We start from the raw sequence: 16,990 nt of genomic DNA, 5'->3' as shown, positions 1-16,990 counted from the left end.
GATGAAAGTTCAGTTTTCTTGGAACTCCTCTGGTCGTACCATTTCACATTTTACACTTTCACCATGAGAATTCTGGTTACCTTGCATTTTTGTCATGTGACATTAGGTGGTGATGGTTGTTTTTAGCCATTCTAATGTGTGTGGAAAGATCTATGTGGTTTTAATTTGCATTTCCCTGGCAACACTGAACACTTTCTAATGTGCTTACTAGCCATTTTTATATCTTCTTTGTGAAATATTTGTTCATATTATTTGGCCATTTTCTAATTGAATTATTTGCCCTTTTATTATTGAGTTTTGGGGGTTTTAATATATTCTGCAGATATAAAAATGTACTTTGTCAAATATATGATTTATGAATATTTTTTCCCAGTTTGTGGTTTACCTCTATTTTTTTAGAGACAAAAAAAATGTCATATTGCTGTCTTAATAATATTTATCAAGTCTTTTAGTCCATGAACTTATTATGTCAGCATTTATTTAGGTCATCTTTTATTTCTCTAAGCTGTGTCTTTTAGCTTTCAGTGTACAGGTTTTACATGTGTTTTATTAAAGGTGTTATATGTTTTTCAACACTATTGTAAATGGAGTTTTTAAAATTTGCTGCTACTTGTTTGTTGCTAATATATAAAAATACGAGTTTTGTATAATAACCTTATATGCTGCAGACTTGTTAAATTAACTTACTAGTTCTACTAGGTATTTGTACGTTCCTTAAGTTCTCCTATATAAGTAGTTATGTCATCAGTAACTATATTAAACTTTACTTCCTCCATTTTAATCTTCATGCTTCTTTTTTTTCTTTTCTTTATTCTTTTTTTTTTTTTTTGCCTATTGCAATGGCCGGGACCTTCAGTACAGTGTTGAACAGGAATGGTGAGAGTAGATATCCTTGTCTTGTTCTCAACTTTGGGCCATGGTTCAGATTTTTTTAATATAAAAAAAATTGTGGTTCCATAATAATTGTATTTTTAGTGTTTGATGAGAAGGTGCATATGTGCACAGGGATTCATAGACTTCTTGCAATAATTCTGAGGAGTACGTGGAGACTAAATTATCATTTTGTTCTGTGCAAATCACTATCTTTTTTTGGGGGGAGGGGGAGAATCAATCGGAGGGGATGTGGACAGGGTCTCACTTTGTCACCCAGGCAGGAGTGCAGTAGTGTGATCTTGGCTCACTGCAGCCTCAACCTCCTGAGCTCAAGCAATCCTCCCACCTCAGCCCCAAGTAGCTGGGACTACAGGCATGTGCTGTGCCACCATGCCCGGCTAATTTTTGTATTTTTAGTAGAAACGGGGCTTCACCATGTTGTCCAGGCTGGTCTTGAACTCCTTCGCTCAGGCAGTCCTACTCGGCCTCCCAAAGTGCTGGGATTATAGGCGTGAGCCACTGCACCCGGCCAGTATCTTTTATAATGTATGTTTTTGTTTGTTTCCATAATCTAGTTATAATATGGTTTAGAAGTTTTTCAATTTTTGTTAATTTGCTTTCTATTGTAAACACATTTTTTTTGTTTCTGCATACCCCTCTCATTAAAAGCTAGATAATGTTTCATCAACTGATTGAACTGTAACTTATTTTAGTTATAGTAGTGCTAATAGTGGTTCGTTATGATGGATTCCTAGAAGTAGAATTACTCTACCAAAGGGCTTAAAAGTCTTTGTGGCTCTTGAAATACATCACCAAGTAACACACTGATTTATAATGTCATCAGCAATGTTCAAACCTGAAAAATCTTGAATTTCTCCTGTAAACAGGACTTTTTTTTGCCAGCTTTGATGTGGTCCAGTTTCTGCATGTGAAATATAAATGCCCTGCTAGTGACTTCACCTTTCTGTCTGTTTCCTTTGGGACTAAGCTTGTCTCTCAGGAGGAGGGTATTTGTGAAGTATTTAGTGGGAAATTTCTTCTGTTGCAGTCCAACTCCTGACCTTCAAAACCTAGAGATGATCGCTTCTCGGCCTTTTGGCTAAGATCAAGTGTAAAACCTAGAGATGAAATTAGCAATTTATCTTACCATCCCCATTATCCAGTTTGGAACTGTGATAGTAATTTCTGTCTATCAAGTACGCTTAGTTTAAACATCACTCAGCATAGGTAGTTCATACTCTATATATTCTCACACAAGTGTCTTCCCAGGGAAGAAAAAAGCCCATTTAAGATGTGATTAGGTCATCATTGGTTTGATTTCAGTTCTATTAAAAGAATTTTTGTTGCAGTACATTTCATGTTTTAATTATGTCAGAAAACTATTGGAAATAAATGGCTTTAATGTCACCCTTCCATAATATCACCCACATAAATACATCAAAATGTAACATGATTATGTCTTTCTTTTCATGTTTATGATAGTCTGTCTCATATTTGTTTTTAGGAAAATTGAGATTATGATATTTTATAGCCTGAGTTATTTAGTGGTTTAAAGAAAGTCAACTTTTTTGTTTATATTTATTATTTATATAATTTTTTAAAGGCCTTATTTATGTATGAGTTCTTTGAATATTAAAGCCCTTTGTTATATGGACTGGCATTTTTTTCTACTTGTTTACCTTTTATATCTGCTTATAATGTTATGTTTTTGAAGTATGAATGTCTAGTTGTTATGAACTAAAACTTTTTCTGGTTTTTATGCAAGTTGTGTCTTGAGATCCCTCATCTCTAAGATGAGTTCAGTGTTCCCCATATTCTTTGTGTTCTTTACTTTAATAATTACTCTGAATTTTGTTGGTGATGACTTTATTCATCACTTAGAATGTACAGAACACTGTGATAGGGGCTGAAGTATATAAAAATGAATAGAGGTGATTATGCTCTCAAGGAGCCTAATAACTCCTTGGGGAGGATAAAACTTACATTCACAGGTATCACAGTAGTGCTGAACAATTAGAAAGTACCCTTTGTGAAGCACAAAGGTTGTTCCCAGGAAAAAGAACTCATTTCCAAATAGGGGAATCTTGTAAAGTTTTATGCAGAAGGTTACATTTAGGGTAGGTTTTTAAAAATGTCATTCTGTAGAAAGAGGCATTTAGAAAATTGGAGACAGAAAAATATAGCTCAGGCTAGCTTTGGAATAGTTAATGGTCCAGTACAAACAACCTTCATTGACTACTTCCTCATTACCAAGCATGTTAGAAGCATCATCATGTTTAAACCTCACACAGCAACCCTGTGAGGTTGGTACTATTATTATTCCCACTTCTTCAGGTATACAGAGTCTCTGATAGGTAAGTAAATTGCCTAAGCTGACTTAGCTAGTAGAACCAAGATTTGAACTAGATCTATCTCACTTTAAAGCTTGAGCTTTTAACTAGGCTACAATGAAAAAGCTAGCTTGCAGCCAGATTTTAATGAAATCATAATGGTCTTTCCAATTAAAGGTATTGTACCCTAAAGACTCTATGTATTATTCTGCACAGAAAAGTAACAGGGCTTGTGTTACATGTGCTTCTTAAGAAGAAAAAAAAAAAAGTATCTGGAATATGCTGTCTTTGAGTGTTACTCTATCATCACGTGGCTGAAATTTGACACTGCCTTTTCTTTCAAGGAAACATTACCCTGTCCAATAAATGAAACTGTGCCGATTTATTTTATTAAGGGGTATGTAGGAAATGGATTCTTCTCTAGAGTATGTAGAATTTTATGCTGTTCTGCTGCAGATATGCTATTTCCTGAAGAATATTCCACTAAAAATAATTCCCTTCCATCATGTTTTTTATATGAGGCATGTGTTTGCTGTCTTATTTTAGGAGAGGAGTATGGTACAGAGCAGGAGTAGCGTGTTCATCCTAGAGCCAGAGCAGGGTTTTCAGCAAGAGGATGGAGGTAGAATGTCAATTAAATATGGCAAGAGAACCCATGTTATAGAATATATAAGGGGAACATGGGATTTAGAGTATTGCTCTACACTGTTGCCACAAATAGATTTTCCCTCAATAGTTCTTTGAAGCCATTCTATTCTAAATTCCTTTTACTTGTTTCAGTGTCTTCTGACATTCACCTGGTGACAGTTCTTACCTCACTGAAAAAACTCAAAACTACCTTACAATCCTGTCTTCAGATTGTCTCTGTATTTTTACTCCTTCTGCCCCATCCTTCCCTACACTGCTCCTCCATGTCTTGATTCTCTTTCCTTCCCCACCCTGACTTCTGCCAGGTTGCTGCTGAGGACTCCTGACCTTGCCCATTGTATTGATCTCTGTGTCTTAATTGCCTCACCTCTAAATGTGAGGGGTGGGGGAGTGGCAGCCGAATGAATAAGGTTTTTTATAATAGCTTTATAAAGCTTTATAACTAACTGTCTCTTGTATCTTTAATGTCTTCACTTCTTCTCATCATTTTTGGCCAAAGATGTATTATTGCTGGGGTCTCCCTATTCCTCACTTCCGAAAAGCTAGAAGCTGTGGCCACCTTTTATCTTACTTTCCCTTAGACCTTCTAACCCATCACTCCTTCTTTTCATTGCTTACCCTCTCAGAACTATCTGCCTCTAATTCTTTCTTCCTGCTTTCTCCCAGTCCTTTACAATTGGCTTCTATCCTTACCCCTCTTCTGAAATTATTCTCTCAACTAATGACCAGTCGTCTCTTTTACCCATTCTGCCACATTTGACACTATCAACTTACCAACCTTCTACCATGACTTTTATGTTGTCTCTGGTTTCTCTTTCTCCTCTGGCCCTGTAGATGTATATATTCTTCAAGCTTTTGACCTTCATCATTTTTTCTACTTGTTCTACTTGCTTCCTTGGATGATTCTACCCATACACATGACCATCTGTATCTCTTACCTGACTATATAATTCAAATCCTATGTCTTAACATCCCTAGTTCAGGCCTTTCTAAGCTCTAGCCCAACCTTTCCATTTGTCTGTGAGAGATTTTCTCATGAATATCTTAGCAATGGAAACTCTATGTTTCTAAAATTGAAACTTGTACCACCCCCCTTTGTCCCTCCTTTTACAACTCCATCTTCTTTTATCATCAGTCCTCACTAGCCCCACACAAAAACAAGACAAACAAAAAAGGCTCAGTAATGAATAGTTAATGGCATGAATCTCTTTCCATTAACTTAGGCTAGAACTGACAGAATCTTTCATTTAAAAAAGTCTTTTGAGTGATTGCCATATTCCAAGTACTGTTATGCAATCTTGGAATACATTCAAAGATCCCTGCTCTCAAAGAGACACAGTATACAACCAGCATAATAAATAAATTATACAGTGTGATAAAATGTTGTGGGAAACAGGGAAAGAGCAGAGTAATGGAATAGGGATTGCCAGGATTGTGGGTAAGGGTTTGAAAATTTAAGTAGGGTAGTCATCGCAGGCCTCATTGACTTGGTGACATTTAAGAAAAGTCTTGACGGAGGAAAGAGTTAGCTGTGCAGATATCTAGAGAAAGAGTTCCAGGAAGAGGAGCCAGACAGTGTGAAGGTTCGAATGTGGGAGCAGGCATGACATGTTCAAGGAATAACAAGGCAGCCAGTGTGGCCAGAGCAGAGTGAGCAAGGGAGAGAAAAATAGGAGATTGAGTCAAAAGGGCATTGGGAGGCTACTATAGGGGTTTGACTGTAGTTCTGAAAGAGTGATATGATCTGATTTACATGTTAAAAGGATCCCCTTGTCTGCTGTTTTAAGTCCACTGTAAGGGGCAGTGGTAGAAGCAGGGAGACCAGTTAAACTAATTGCTGTAATCCAAGAGAAAGATGATGACTGAGATCCAGATGATACAGCAGAAGACATGGTGAGAAGTGTTCAGATTCTGGATATACTTTAAAAGTAGACTCAATAGGATTTACTGAAAGATTGGATGAAGGATATGAAAATTAGTAACTGGTTACAAATGGCAAAAATAATATGAATACTAGAGACACTGTGGAGGATGAAGTGGAAACTCACTGTATTGGAGGGGAGTGGAAAAGGGAAAAGTTAAAGAACTAAACAGTGATTACTCCCATAGTGATCTCATCTGGTCCCATGGCTCTAAGGACTGTCATAAGCACATTACTTCCAAATTTATATTCTTAGTCCAAAACACTCTTCCAAACTGTATCTGCCTACTTAAGATCTCAAACCTAATATGCCTAAATCTGAACCCGTCTCTCCCCAAAATCTTCAACTATAATCTTTTTCATCTCATATTATTTCAGTTCATCCTTTCAGCTTCTCAGTTCAGAGCCTTGAAATCATCTTTGATCTGACGAGATATCCTTAGCTGGAAATGAGATCTTTCTCCTTGAACAACCTTTATGCTTCACTAAGGGCATTTACTAATTTCTTACCTCTGTTATGGTATCTGTGAGTATAAGTTATATCCTTCCTACTTTGGGAGGCTCCTGGAGGGCGTAAATCACCTCTATTCATTTTTACATTCTTCAGCCCCTGCCACAGTGCTCTGCACGTTCTAAATGATGCATAAAATCATCAACAAAATTCAGAGTAAATATTAAAATAAGAGTACAAAGAATATGGGGAACACTGAACTGATCTTAGAGATCAGGAATCTTAAGACACATCTGGGATAAAAGCAAGAAAAATAATGTTAATTTTTTTTCATTAAAAAGCTGCTTTTGATGTACCCCTTGGTTACTCCACCATACCCCACTTACTCATAATAGGCTCAGATGGTCAAAAAGGAGTAGAACATAGTAGAATATCATAGTAAAGCCATGAGCTCCTTCAATTGTCCTTGTCTCTGCAAAATAAATAATGCATCTGAAAATTTGGCACCAGATTTACTAAGCTAGTGACAATTAAATTTCAGGTTAGTTTATAATTATTGGCTGTAAGCTCCAATAGGACATGGATCATAAGAGCCTGTTTTACCTCTCTATCCCTTGCACCTGACAAATACTGATACGGCAATGTTTGATGAAAAAATAAATGATAGGAATTAATAATGAAAGATGACTACATAAAAGAACACTGAGGAAGGGAACTACTCAGGAACTGATAACTTCAGTAGAACAAAATGAAATGTTTAGCTTTACTTTAATTCATGTATTTTTTTTTTGTATAATCTAAACTGGCTGTGGTCAATGCAGTTGTATAAACAAAATTGTTGGTAGAACACATAGATCATCCTTTCCTAATGTTGCCTTTCCTAAATATTGTGTAAGTACTTCTTCCAGAATCTCTTGTGGATTGAAAAAATTTCAAGACCTCCCCAAACTGAATCCCATTTGCCTTCACAGAGCATTGTATCCAGGGCCAAGGCCCTCCTAGATTTTGCAGACTAAAAGTCTAGAGACCATGAAAGAGGATTTCTTACTGTTTTCTGTCATCATCCAGAAACTGTCATGTCTGTGTGTGTGAGTGAGTTTGTTGTGTTGTGTACCATAAACCATAAGTAAAATTGCTGCTATATTAGTAGAATGAGACCCAGAAACAGCCTATTTAGGGGTTATTCTCCCCACTACTACCCCCTCTGTTTTTGTCCTACCATTTGGGTTGATCCAGAGAGCTAAGGCAGGTATCCGATTTCCTCTTTTTCTTGAATAAGGTGCCAGGAGTAGTGCTTGGTGCTGCAGATGATGCTGATTTGTATGTGCCACAGTGAGACCTGGCACTCTCCCAGAGAATCTGCTGTATTAAGAATTTGATTCACTCCAGATAGTTAAGCTTGAAAGTGGTTGTGCTCTTGATTTAACTTGAAAAATATCAGGAAATTTATTGTCAAGACTGTCACTTGGCACTCATTTTGATAAAGCATTAGCTAGTATTTGTTATTTCAATTTTTCCCATTAGGGAGGAATTCTAATACTAGTTTCTATAAGTGGTTAACAGCCTGTGTAGCAGGAATATCACATGCAGTAGCATTGGAATGGACCAGGTAAATGTATGTCAAGGAATGATTTGTATCAATACCTGTTTGTGATATTTGTACTATAGGATTTCCTTTGTTTCTGCTGATGTGCTTATTTGTGACCCTTACAATCAATGTTGAAAAGTATCAGAGAGTAGACAGCCGTCAATGTAAAATTCAGGTCTGGGACAGGAATAATCACATAGCAAAATATTTATTTGGGGAGGGAAGAAACTTCTGTACAAAAGCCAAACAGTGTTTTTCTTTAATTTACTAAAAACTTGTGTCAGGTTTTTAGAACCAAAAGTAGATTAACCCAACAGATACACAAGGATTCCGTCATGAGATAAATGAATATAAAGATTCCTAACTGGTGCCCTGAGCTAAAAAGTAGTTGAGATTGGGGGAGGGCCTTAAAAGGTTCTGCCTAGCTCCCTGCCGTGGAGCTAAAATAAGTCAAGCCAGATAGTGAAGAATGGCCTCTACTGAAGACCCTTAATGAGTGGGCATATCTCAGTCTCTGTCTCTTTCCCATTCCTGTTCAAGGATTTAGCATCTCTGAACTGCTCCTTGAGAATTGCCTTCAGAGTCTTCATTGCCTTCCCTCCAACCGGAGCTTACTGCCGAGCAAAGAAGTCTTCTAACTAATAAGTGACTGTAATGCAAAGAGTTTACATTGGTTTTATTTAAAAAACAAACAGCAACCATTGACTCTTCACAGATTTGATATTCAGAGTTTTCACTATGAGCAACCAGAAGGCCCATGAGTTGTAATTTGCAATTTTTCTTACAGGTGAGTCAGCCTACTGAATATGTCTAACACACCTCCCTACATCTAAAATTCACCACAGCTTCGTTCTGCATTGGCATGCCAGCTAACTCCTGCAATGATAAAAACACGTTCCTTTGTGGGAAACTTGCCTGAAAAGAAATCCAACTGCAAATGCTGTACAATAAATGATGATTAGGTAAACAGACCTAAGAGATTATTTGCAAATTTGAAAAAGCCCGAAGTTTTCTGAACTTGGACTTGCCTTATAAGAATTGGCAGCAGGGCAGAAAGACTCGTTCCTGGCTTTTGATAAATGATAATGTAAGATGTGTATCAATTAGTTATCCTACATTAATTTCTAATAGACCTATGGCTAGACAATATTAGATTGCCTTATAAAAAGACATAGCATCATAAAAGAGAGGCCAAACCTAAAATATAAAAATGTTAAGTGGACAGATTGCTAAAAGTTAATTTTGTTTTTAAAGATACAGCAGTCTCTCTATGTTGCCCAGGCTGTACTCAAACTCCTGGGCTTAATGACCCTACTCCTCACCCTCCCTAGTGGCTGGGACTACATGTGTGTGCCACTGGGCCCAGTTTTGTGTGTTGTTGTTAGTAGTTAAAACCTAAGCATCTTACTCTAGTTCCCAAGAAGTAACATTCATATTTTCAAAAGTGCCCTTACAAATGAGAAAAGTGAAAAAAATTCACCCACTTGAGAATTAGATGATCAGGCTATGGATTGATTGTCATATCCAATGTCTTACACACTGTTCCAAAACACAGCCCACATGACGTTTCTGGCAAAGCTGGTAGAGGAAACTAGGAAGATCAAGAACCTGAGACTTGACATAACTTTCCCCTAACTCAGTCTGGAGGCAGTGAAATGTCAGACTGCCTGGATTCAAATCATGGCTGTTTGAACTGGGAATGTTATTTAACCTCTCTATACCTCAGTTTTCTTGTCTGTTAAATGTGCGTAATAATAGTACCATATCTCATGGGGTTATATTAATTAATATATGTAGAATACTTAGCACCTGGACAGAGTAAGCTAGTGTTAATATGATTATTATTGCTGTTATTTTTGTTGTGATTGAGGAGGGGCTAAGCTAAGCCATAAAAGAAATGGGGGTAGTTGGAGGGAGTGGGGGAGAGTTACAATGGTTGGTCCCCAAGAAAAAAAGTTGTTTTTTCATGTGATCTGGATGTAATTTGAGACATTTAACATTGTTAATGAATATTAATATTGGGTTTTGAGACTGGAGAAAATGCTGGTTTCTCTCCTGTGTTTCTGGAGCAACCTATTAGTACCCAATGAAGGAGGAGTGTGAGGGAGTTGCTGGCCAATCATAAAGTTGTGCTTGCTTCAGCCTCTTCCATCTTCAAAATATTTGCCTGTCCTTCTCCTTTTTTTCTTTTCATCAAGTTTAGACCACTCAGTCTGGAGCCTGAAACTCAGTAGGTTATTGATTTAGTTTCCCATTATCTCCCTCCTGCCCTTCCTGCCCCCAGCCTAGCTATGGATTTTAATCTTAGCTTGTCTTCTGATTCTCAGTGTCACCATAAGCGAGTTACTTTGACCTCAGTTGCATACTCTTTAAATGGAATAACGTTTTTGCCCATTCAGAGGACAACTAGGGATTTATTGAAATGGCAGATGTTAAGCATTTTCAAATTTTTTGATAGGAGGATTCCTTGACAGGATGGCATTTATAGTAAAAAGGCTGTTTCCCAAGGAAGAGTCCTCTACCTCTGATACATAGGTTTTATTCCCTAGTGGTACAAGGTCTGTTTAATTTCAGCTTTTCCACCATGAGCCTGTATGTTTTTAAATACTACTTTTTTAATTTGCCCTCTTCTTTCAAACATTCACAGGCACTAATCCACATTATGGCTTTACAGGCAGTAAATTAAATTATATTAATTCTAAACACAGTGTTTTTGAGCTGTAGAGAGTCTGTAGCCTTTGAAACCACTAACTTAATTTTGTCCAACTCTTATTCAGAAATTCAAAAAGAGCCAAAGCTTTTTCCTTTTGAATTTGGTTTAAAAAATAGTAAGAAATTTCTCCCAGGCAGTGGTCCTGGGTGCCAAGGTTTATCAGAGATCTAAATCTGTCTGCATGAAAATCTCCGAAAGTAAAAGGGTAGGCCTGCTAATGAAGATGTAATCTGTTATAACTTTTACCTTCACTACTACTACCTTATGTTGTCAGGTGTGGGCAAGTCTCTTAATCTCTCTGAGATTTTGTTTTCTTATCAGCAAATCTACATTCACAATAAATATTTGAGATAATTAAATGAAATAATCTGTACTGCGCACTTTCAAAAGTATCTGTTTATCTGCACATAAAGTCCTGCCTCTAAAAGAGCAGATACAAGCGGAAGACTATTTTATACTGTCATTACTTAAAATTAGATTGTAAGCTCATTCAAGGCAAAGGCTCTATTATCTTTCATAGAGCCTTCCTCCACAGTAAATAAATGTTTATTGAATAAAGCTGAGTATGCTTTTCTAAATTATTCTTTGTTGGTTTCAGCATTTTGTCACATTCCTTTGAAGAGCCTTGATTTTAGCAAATCTTTATCATTTGGGCAGGGGAATGGCAGGGTGTGTGAAACAACCATACTCACAGGAAAAGGGTGATCAGGCTGCATAATACTGGGTTGTTGATTTTTTTTTTTCTGGTTCTCTTTTGGGAGGGTAATGGTTTGTTATTTTTCAAAATGTGAGAAGACTGATATTTTAATGTCACTTGTAAATTTATTTCTAAGACAGTTCCTACAACAGTTTAGATGTCTTTGGAGCAATAATAGCAACATTTCAGTACACAACACCTTTCCTATTTTTATATACTCATACTCATTTAGAGGTATACGTACAGTTGTTTAAATTATATGATAATTACACAGTATAAAGCGAGTGGTTCTGAAATAGGGAAAGTTGCATAATCACTGTGGTTGTGTATGGCATTGGTTATTATTTCACTGATCTTAGATACTTTGAGGTAACTATATGAGCACTGTTCAACTATTTCTGAAAAGATGATCATCCTAAATCTTTTAGAAGATTTCTATCTCGGGACTTTTTAAATGGCACTTTAAAAAATTTTTACTCTTATTCAGTAATGCTAAATTGCTAAGTAATAGAAATTTTAAAATAAAACAGCTTTCTAAGGATATATTCTCCTACATACAATGAATGCAACATGCAATGAGTATCCAGTTTCTGTACATGTATAACAGATCTTTGAAAAAGCAGGAAACATTTAGTAAGTTCTTCAGAAGTCAGAAGCAGGTAACAGTCTGATGCTTATAATACCAAGTCCTTTGGAAGACAAACTGCATTCCTTCATCTATGACAGGAAATCTTTCTCTTGTCATTTCTTTTTTTTTTCTTCTACTCATATATGCAGGAGGTGCTCCAAATGGTACCAAGAAATAACATTTAAAACGCCCCCACCCATGCCCAGATAGCTGCATGCATTTTAAAACTATATTCTCTCATCAGAGTCTGGAAGAGCTTTCAGAACAACTTCATGACTTTCTGAAGGGGTTACATTTTTAAAATGTTTATCTTAGTATGTTAATTTACTGTAAAAAAACGGTCTCAGCTGTAAGTTCTACTGGATAATTCTTTGCCCTTTCTGTGGTTGATTATTATGCTAAGAAATGCCATTTAAATATTATTTTCACTAGATATCTGTTAGCTTCTGTAGTACAACAGGTAGTTCTGTGGGCCTCTCTATAAATGAATGATACTTGAATTTATAATTACTTGTATATTTTGCACCAGCATAGATTGTTAAGGATTCTGGCCTATTTCAGTATCTTGGTTTAACAAGGAGGTAAGACATTTGAAAATGCCAGGTGCAGTGGCTCACACCTGTTATCCCAGCACTTTGGGAGGCCAAGGTGGGTGGATCTCTTGAGCCCAGAAGTTTGAAACCAGCCTGGGCAACATATTGAGACCTCACCTCTACAAAACATTTTTAAAAAATAAAAATTAGCTGGGCTTGTGGTTCCAGCTACTTGGGAGGCCAAGGGAGGAGGATCGCTTCAGCCTGGAAGTCCAAGGCTACAGTGAGCTGTGATTGCACCACTGCTACAGCCCCTGGGTGAAACAGCAAGACCCTGTCTTAAAAAAAGTTTGAAAAGATTCCTCAGTGATGATTAAAATGCAGTTCACATTGCTGTCCCTTTGATTTGACTGCTAGAACAGCCCCTATGGTGAAGCCAGCACTCCTTCTGTAAGCTAATCTAAATAGGTACTGTGATATTCTCAGCTGTGTAAATTCAGCTCCTCTGTAGATAGCATAAAGGAGCAGCAGGTTTTCCTCGTTTGCCACACTTGAATTTATATTCAATTTTTAATATTAAGAGCAGTAAATTTGAAAATAGTAATAAATTTTAAAGAAATGTATACATAGAGTAACATATATATGTTATATAGAGAGAAAATATAGAAACAGTAACAGATTTTTAGAGTAACAAATTACTACTGAACTTGCATTTATGTCCCACAGTTTACATAGTTTTTTAGAAGGCCAGATTTTCTTAGAGTATAAGCTTTCTTTTTAAATTATTGAATATTTAACCTGTATTACAGATTAAGACCTGCTCTGTCTACCTGTACCTATTCATTTCTAAAATGATGTGTTCTTGCATTTAATTTTGTGCTTGTTGCGTTACTCCATTAAAACTGAGTAAAGCTAATGGGTAAAAATAGACAAGTAGGAAAGTCTCTTGAAAGTGTTGAGAGTGGGTAGACTATTAGATGTACTTTGCCCTTATAGCATGGTTCTTGGTGGAGTTGTAAATCATATGTTTTGCCCACAAAGCACGTACTAATATTAAGTTGTTTTTAAAGTGATTGTGTTGCATCACCATGGTTCTTCTATGCTCTGTGGGGTATCATGTTGCTTTAATGTAATGAACCAAGTCCTCAGCTCCTAAATCTCCATGCTGGAAATGATGACATAAAACTGAATGGCCATGTCTGAAGTCATGAATCTTGAGAATTTCTTATTCTTTGGGAAAAGCCTTACAAGACTTTTCTTATTCTTTGAAGGGAAAAGCCCTGCACTTATAACAAGTTTCTGTTGAAAATATTAGCCATTTTAGGTTATATAGCATTCTGTTTGAAAAATAAGCATTAACTCTGCTGCAAGGTCTGTATTTTAACTTTGTGCAGATGTGTGCTTAAAGAACATGATGTGCTTATTTGTTGCATTTATGGTACTTTCTTACTTTAAGTAAGATGGATGAAATTACACATTAAATAAAAACAGCAGTCCTTACCAACCTGAAAAAGCCTTCCAAAAACAGTGGAGAAAATGAGAATATGACTTTAATAATTCATTGACTTTTGAAAGAATTGTCTATTTAAAAGCATGTATATAATTTCTTTGCAGGTTTCCTCAGTGTTTTTAATGTTAAAAGTAATCTGCCAGTAAATTATTTGTAAAATATTACTAAAAGTATTATTTTCTTTCCTAACCAAATATAGCACTTTAAATTTTACATATCTTGTTATACACAGACATATATATTGTGTGTGGCATAAAACTCCAGTTAGAATAACATCATGGCCTTGGACAAGTTATTTAAACTCCCTGAACCTCATTTTTTTTTTCTGTATGATATGATACCTACCTTTTAGGATCATTGTCATGATTAAACGAGAAAAATCTATTTAGAACAATGTCTGACAGATATTTATCACTACCTGTTCACTTCTGTATGCCAAGCTTCATAAAGCAGTGTGTTTTTATTTGGTACTTTTGAGCCAGAAAGTACTTTGTATTGAGTATTACTTACCACACTCAATTCTAAAGTGAAACTTTGTATTGGATATTACTTATCACACTTAATTCTGAAGTGAAATTTAGAATATGTAGAATAAATTTTTCTTAGGATATTTAAGGAACATATGTTTATTGAATGGCTACTAAGCATAAAACATTGTTTCCTATCATGTACAGTTGACTATATTTAAAATTCATTAAGGTAGAGGTCAGTCTAAATGCTATTCCCAGTTCGTTTTACAGTTCCTCTGTCTGTTGTTGGCTCTTTGTGTGTGTGTGCGTGACCTTGTTAACTTTAAGAAAGTTTTCAAAATAAAAAAGCACTTGACTTTGTAGTAATTTAAAAATAGGTTGATCAATATGAAGCATTAGCTAGGAGCACAAGTTGGTGCTTTTTTATTGATTTCAGTTACTAATGCCCTCAGGCTTATATGTGTGAGAATGAAAATGATATATGAAATACGCACCCAGGTTAAACAGACAAATGTTCTTGTTACATCTGCAACCACTATAGGCAGAATTCTTTATTTGGAAGTGACTTTGGTAGTAGTTAGTTCCTCTCTCCCTCTCTCTCTGTCTCACACACACACATACACATGTGCAAGCAACCTTAAGATAGACTCATACAGTGCTTTGGGAAGTTTCTGCCATTTAGTTACTTTTATTAATTATAAAATGCTATTCAAGATTCTAGACTTACAGCGCATTAGTATACATTCTGTCATTTTTAACAGATGGTTAGAAGCCAGAATCTTGAGGATTTGAAAGATACTCCGCTAAGTAGCCAGTTGCAGACCAATAAAACCAAGAAGGTGAATACCAGGGAAGCCTGCTCAGCAGGGCACGCATTATTTAGAAAGTTGTATAAGGAAGTTGGATTTCGGCAGAGGTTGTCATGTGTCATCCGCCCCATCAGTCAGAGCTCCAGCAGCTGTTCCTTGTCACCGGGACCCTTGTATGCTACTGTTCGTCCATCAGCACTAAGAGATACCGGCTGCCTTTCCACCATGCTGTGGAAGCCACAGACATACAGACTTACAGTGTTATCTCACTGGACACCAGTTTGGATGAAAGCTCATTTTCAAAGAGGGAGACCAAACACCAACGTTTTGGTATTTTATTAGACTATTAACCAAAATACATTCTCAAGAGAATTAGTCGGATACCATAAAGTGTGTCTATTTTTGGCCATATATATGGCTGTAATAATGTAGGAGTGTTGCACATTTGAATTCAAAGAGATGCCCTACTTAAGTGAGAGATGGGAGAACTTTCTCCACTAGATGCCAGATTATTATTATCAGAGTATCACTGTGAAGAGACCTTTCTGGTTGAACACAACAATGCAAAAAAGACTTAAAATCACAAGCATTCTTTTTTTGATAGTGCAGCAACCTGCCAAATAGGATATATCCCCATTCTGATTATAGACAAACCTCCAACAATTCCCTTTTTCTCTTTTTGTATTCCAGAGGTATCCCTAGAGGAAAGGATTTGAGGGCATTAGTATCACTATCTGCCTGATTACTGTGTTGACATTTTTAAAGTGCCATTAATCATAGGAAATGGAACTTAATGGTGTAGAAAAATACCCAGCCAAGGAATGTCAAGAAAGTAAGCTACAGCCCAGTATTCACATGAAATTAAAGGGAAATGCATCTTAACCCTTCAATTCTTTTTTTCTTCTTACTGAATTATAAAGGAAAGTAATTGAGAGGTAGCTTTGCAATCAAAGGTAATGGTAAACATAGTAAAAGAAAATTATAAAAGGCAGATGTTTTTATTTTACAAATATTACAGTTACATAATGTATAAAGAATATAAAGATAATATTCATCTTTAGATAGTATAATGGAAGTTTTACCTGCTTCCATTTTGGAAGAAAGTTACTTTTTCTTTTTGATATCCCCTCCTATATTTTTTCTGTTGACTCTGAATACTGAATAGACTTGATATAATTTAGTTTATATGAGGCTCAACTGTTACGGAATTTGAGAGTTATTAAGCTGATGGTATGCTGCACAGGTAATACTGCCATCAAGGGTATACAGAAGTAAAAAGCAGTGATAGGACACATGAATAGAGTAATTCATTTTTCAAAAGCTGGCAATATGTAATGCACATTTTGTTAGAGTTTGGTATCATTTCATCGTTTGCCTATTAGCTAATTTAAATAAAATGTTTTCCTAATTGAAATTGTAGGGAACAGATAGCCTCATTTTTAAAATATATGTGACACTAAACTTATAATGAATATTATAGTGTAAAATATTTTTGGCTGGACGCAGTGGCTTACGCCTGTAATCCCAGCACTTTGGGAGGCCAAGGCAGGCAGATCACGAGGTCAGGAGATCGAGACCATCCTGGCTAACACAGTGAAACCCCGTCTCTACTAAAAATACAAAAAATTAGCTGGGCGTGGTGGCGGGTGCCTGTAGTCCCAGCTACTCGGGAGGCTGAGGCAGGAGAATGGCGTGAACCCAGGAGGCGGAGCTTGTGGTGAGCTGAGATCTTGTCACTGCACTCCAGCCTAGGTGACAGTGCAAGACTGTCTCAACAACAACAAAAAAATGTTTTTGGTGCTGACTCTGAGCAGGTGCT

General features: G+C 36.4%; 1 protein-coding gene across 4 annotated transcripts in view, besides 1 other annotated feature; it reads left to right on the top strand.

Moving 5' to 3' along the window:
- Positions 1 to 16,990, top strand: part of SRBD1 (S1 RNA binding domain 1) — a 222,588-nt gene that overhangs the window by 200,923 nt on the left and 4,675 nt on the right. The gene's annotated exons all lie outside the window — the stretch shown is intronic.
- Positions 15,761 to 16,055: a silencer, noted in NCBI's record as "tiled region #15185; HepG2 Repressive non-DNase unmatched - State 16:ElonW". NCBI's record gives its function as "represses a minimal TATA promoter and a strong SV40 promoter by Sharpr-MPRA in HepG2 cells {active_cell/tissue: HepG2}" and the evidence as "EXISTENCE:reporter gene assay evidence [ECO:0000049][PMID:27701403]".

This window comes from Homo sapiens, chromosome 2 (assembly GCF_000001405.40).
Source record: "Homo sapiens chromosome 2, GRCh38.p14 Primary Assembly".
Lineage (NCBI taxonomy): Eukaryota > Metazoa > Chordata > Mammalia > Primates > Hominidae > Homo > Homo sapiens.
This window is presented reverse-complemented; position numbering and strand designations above follow the sequence as displayed.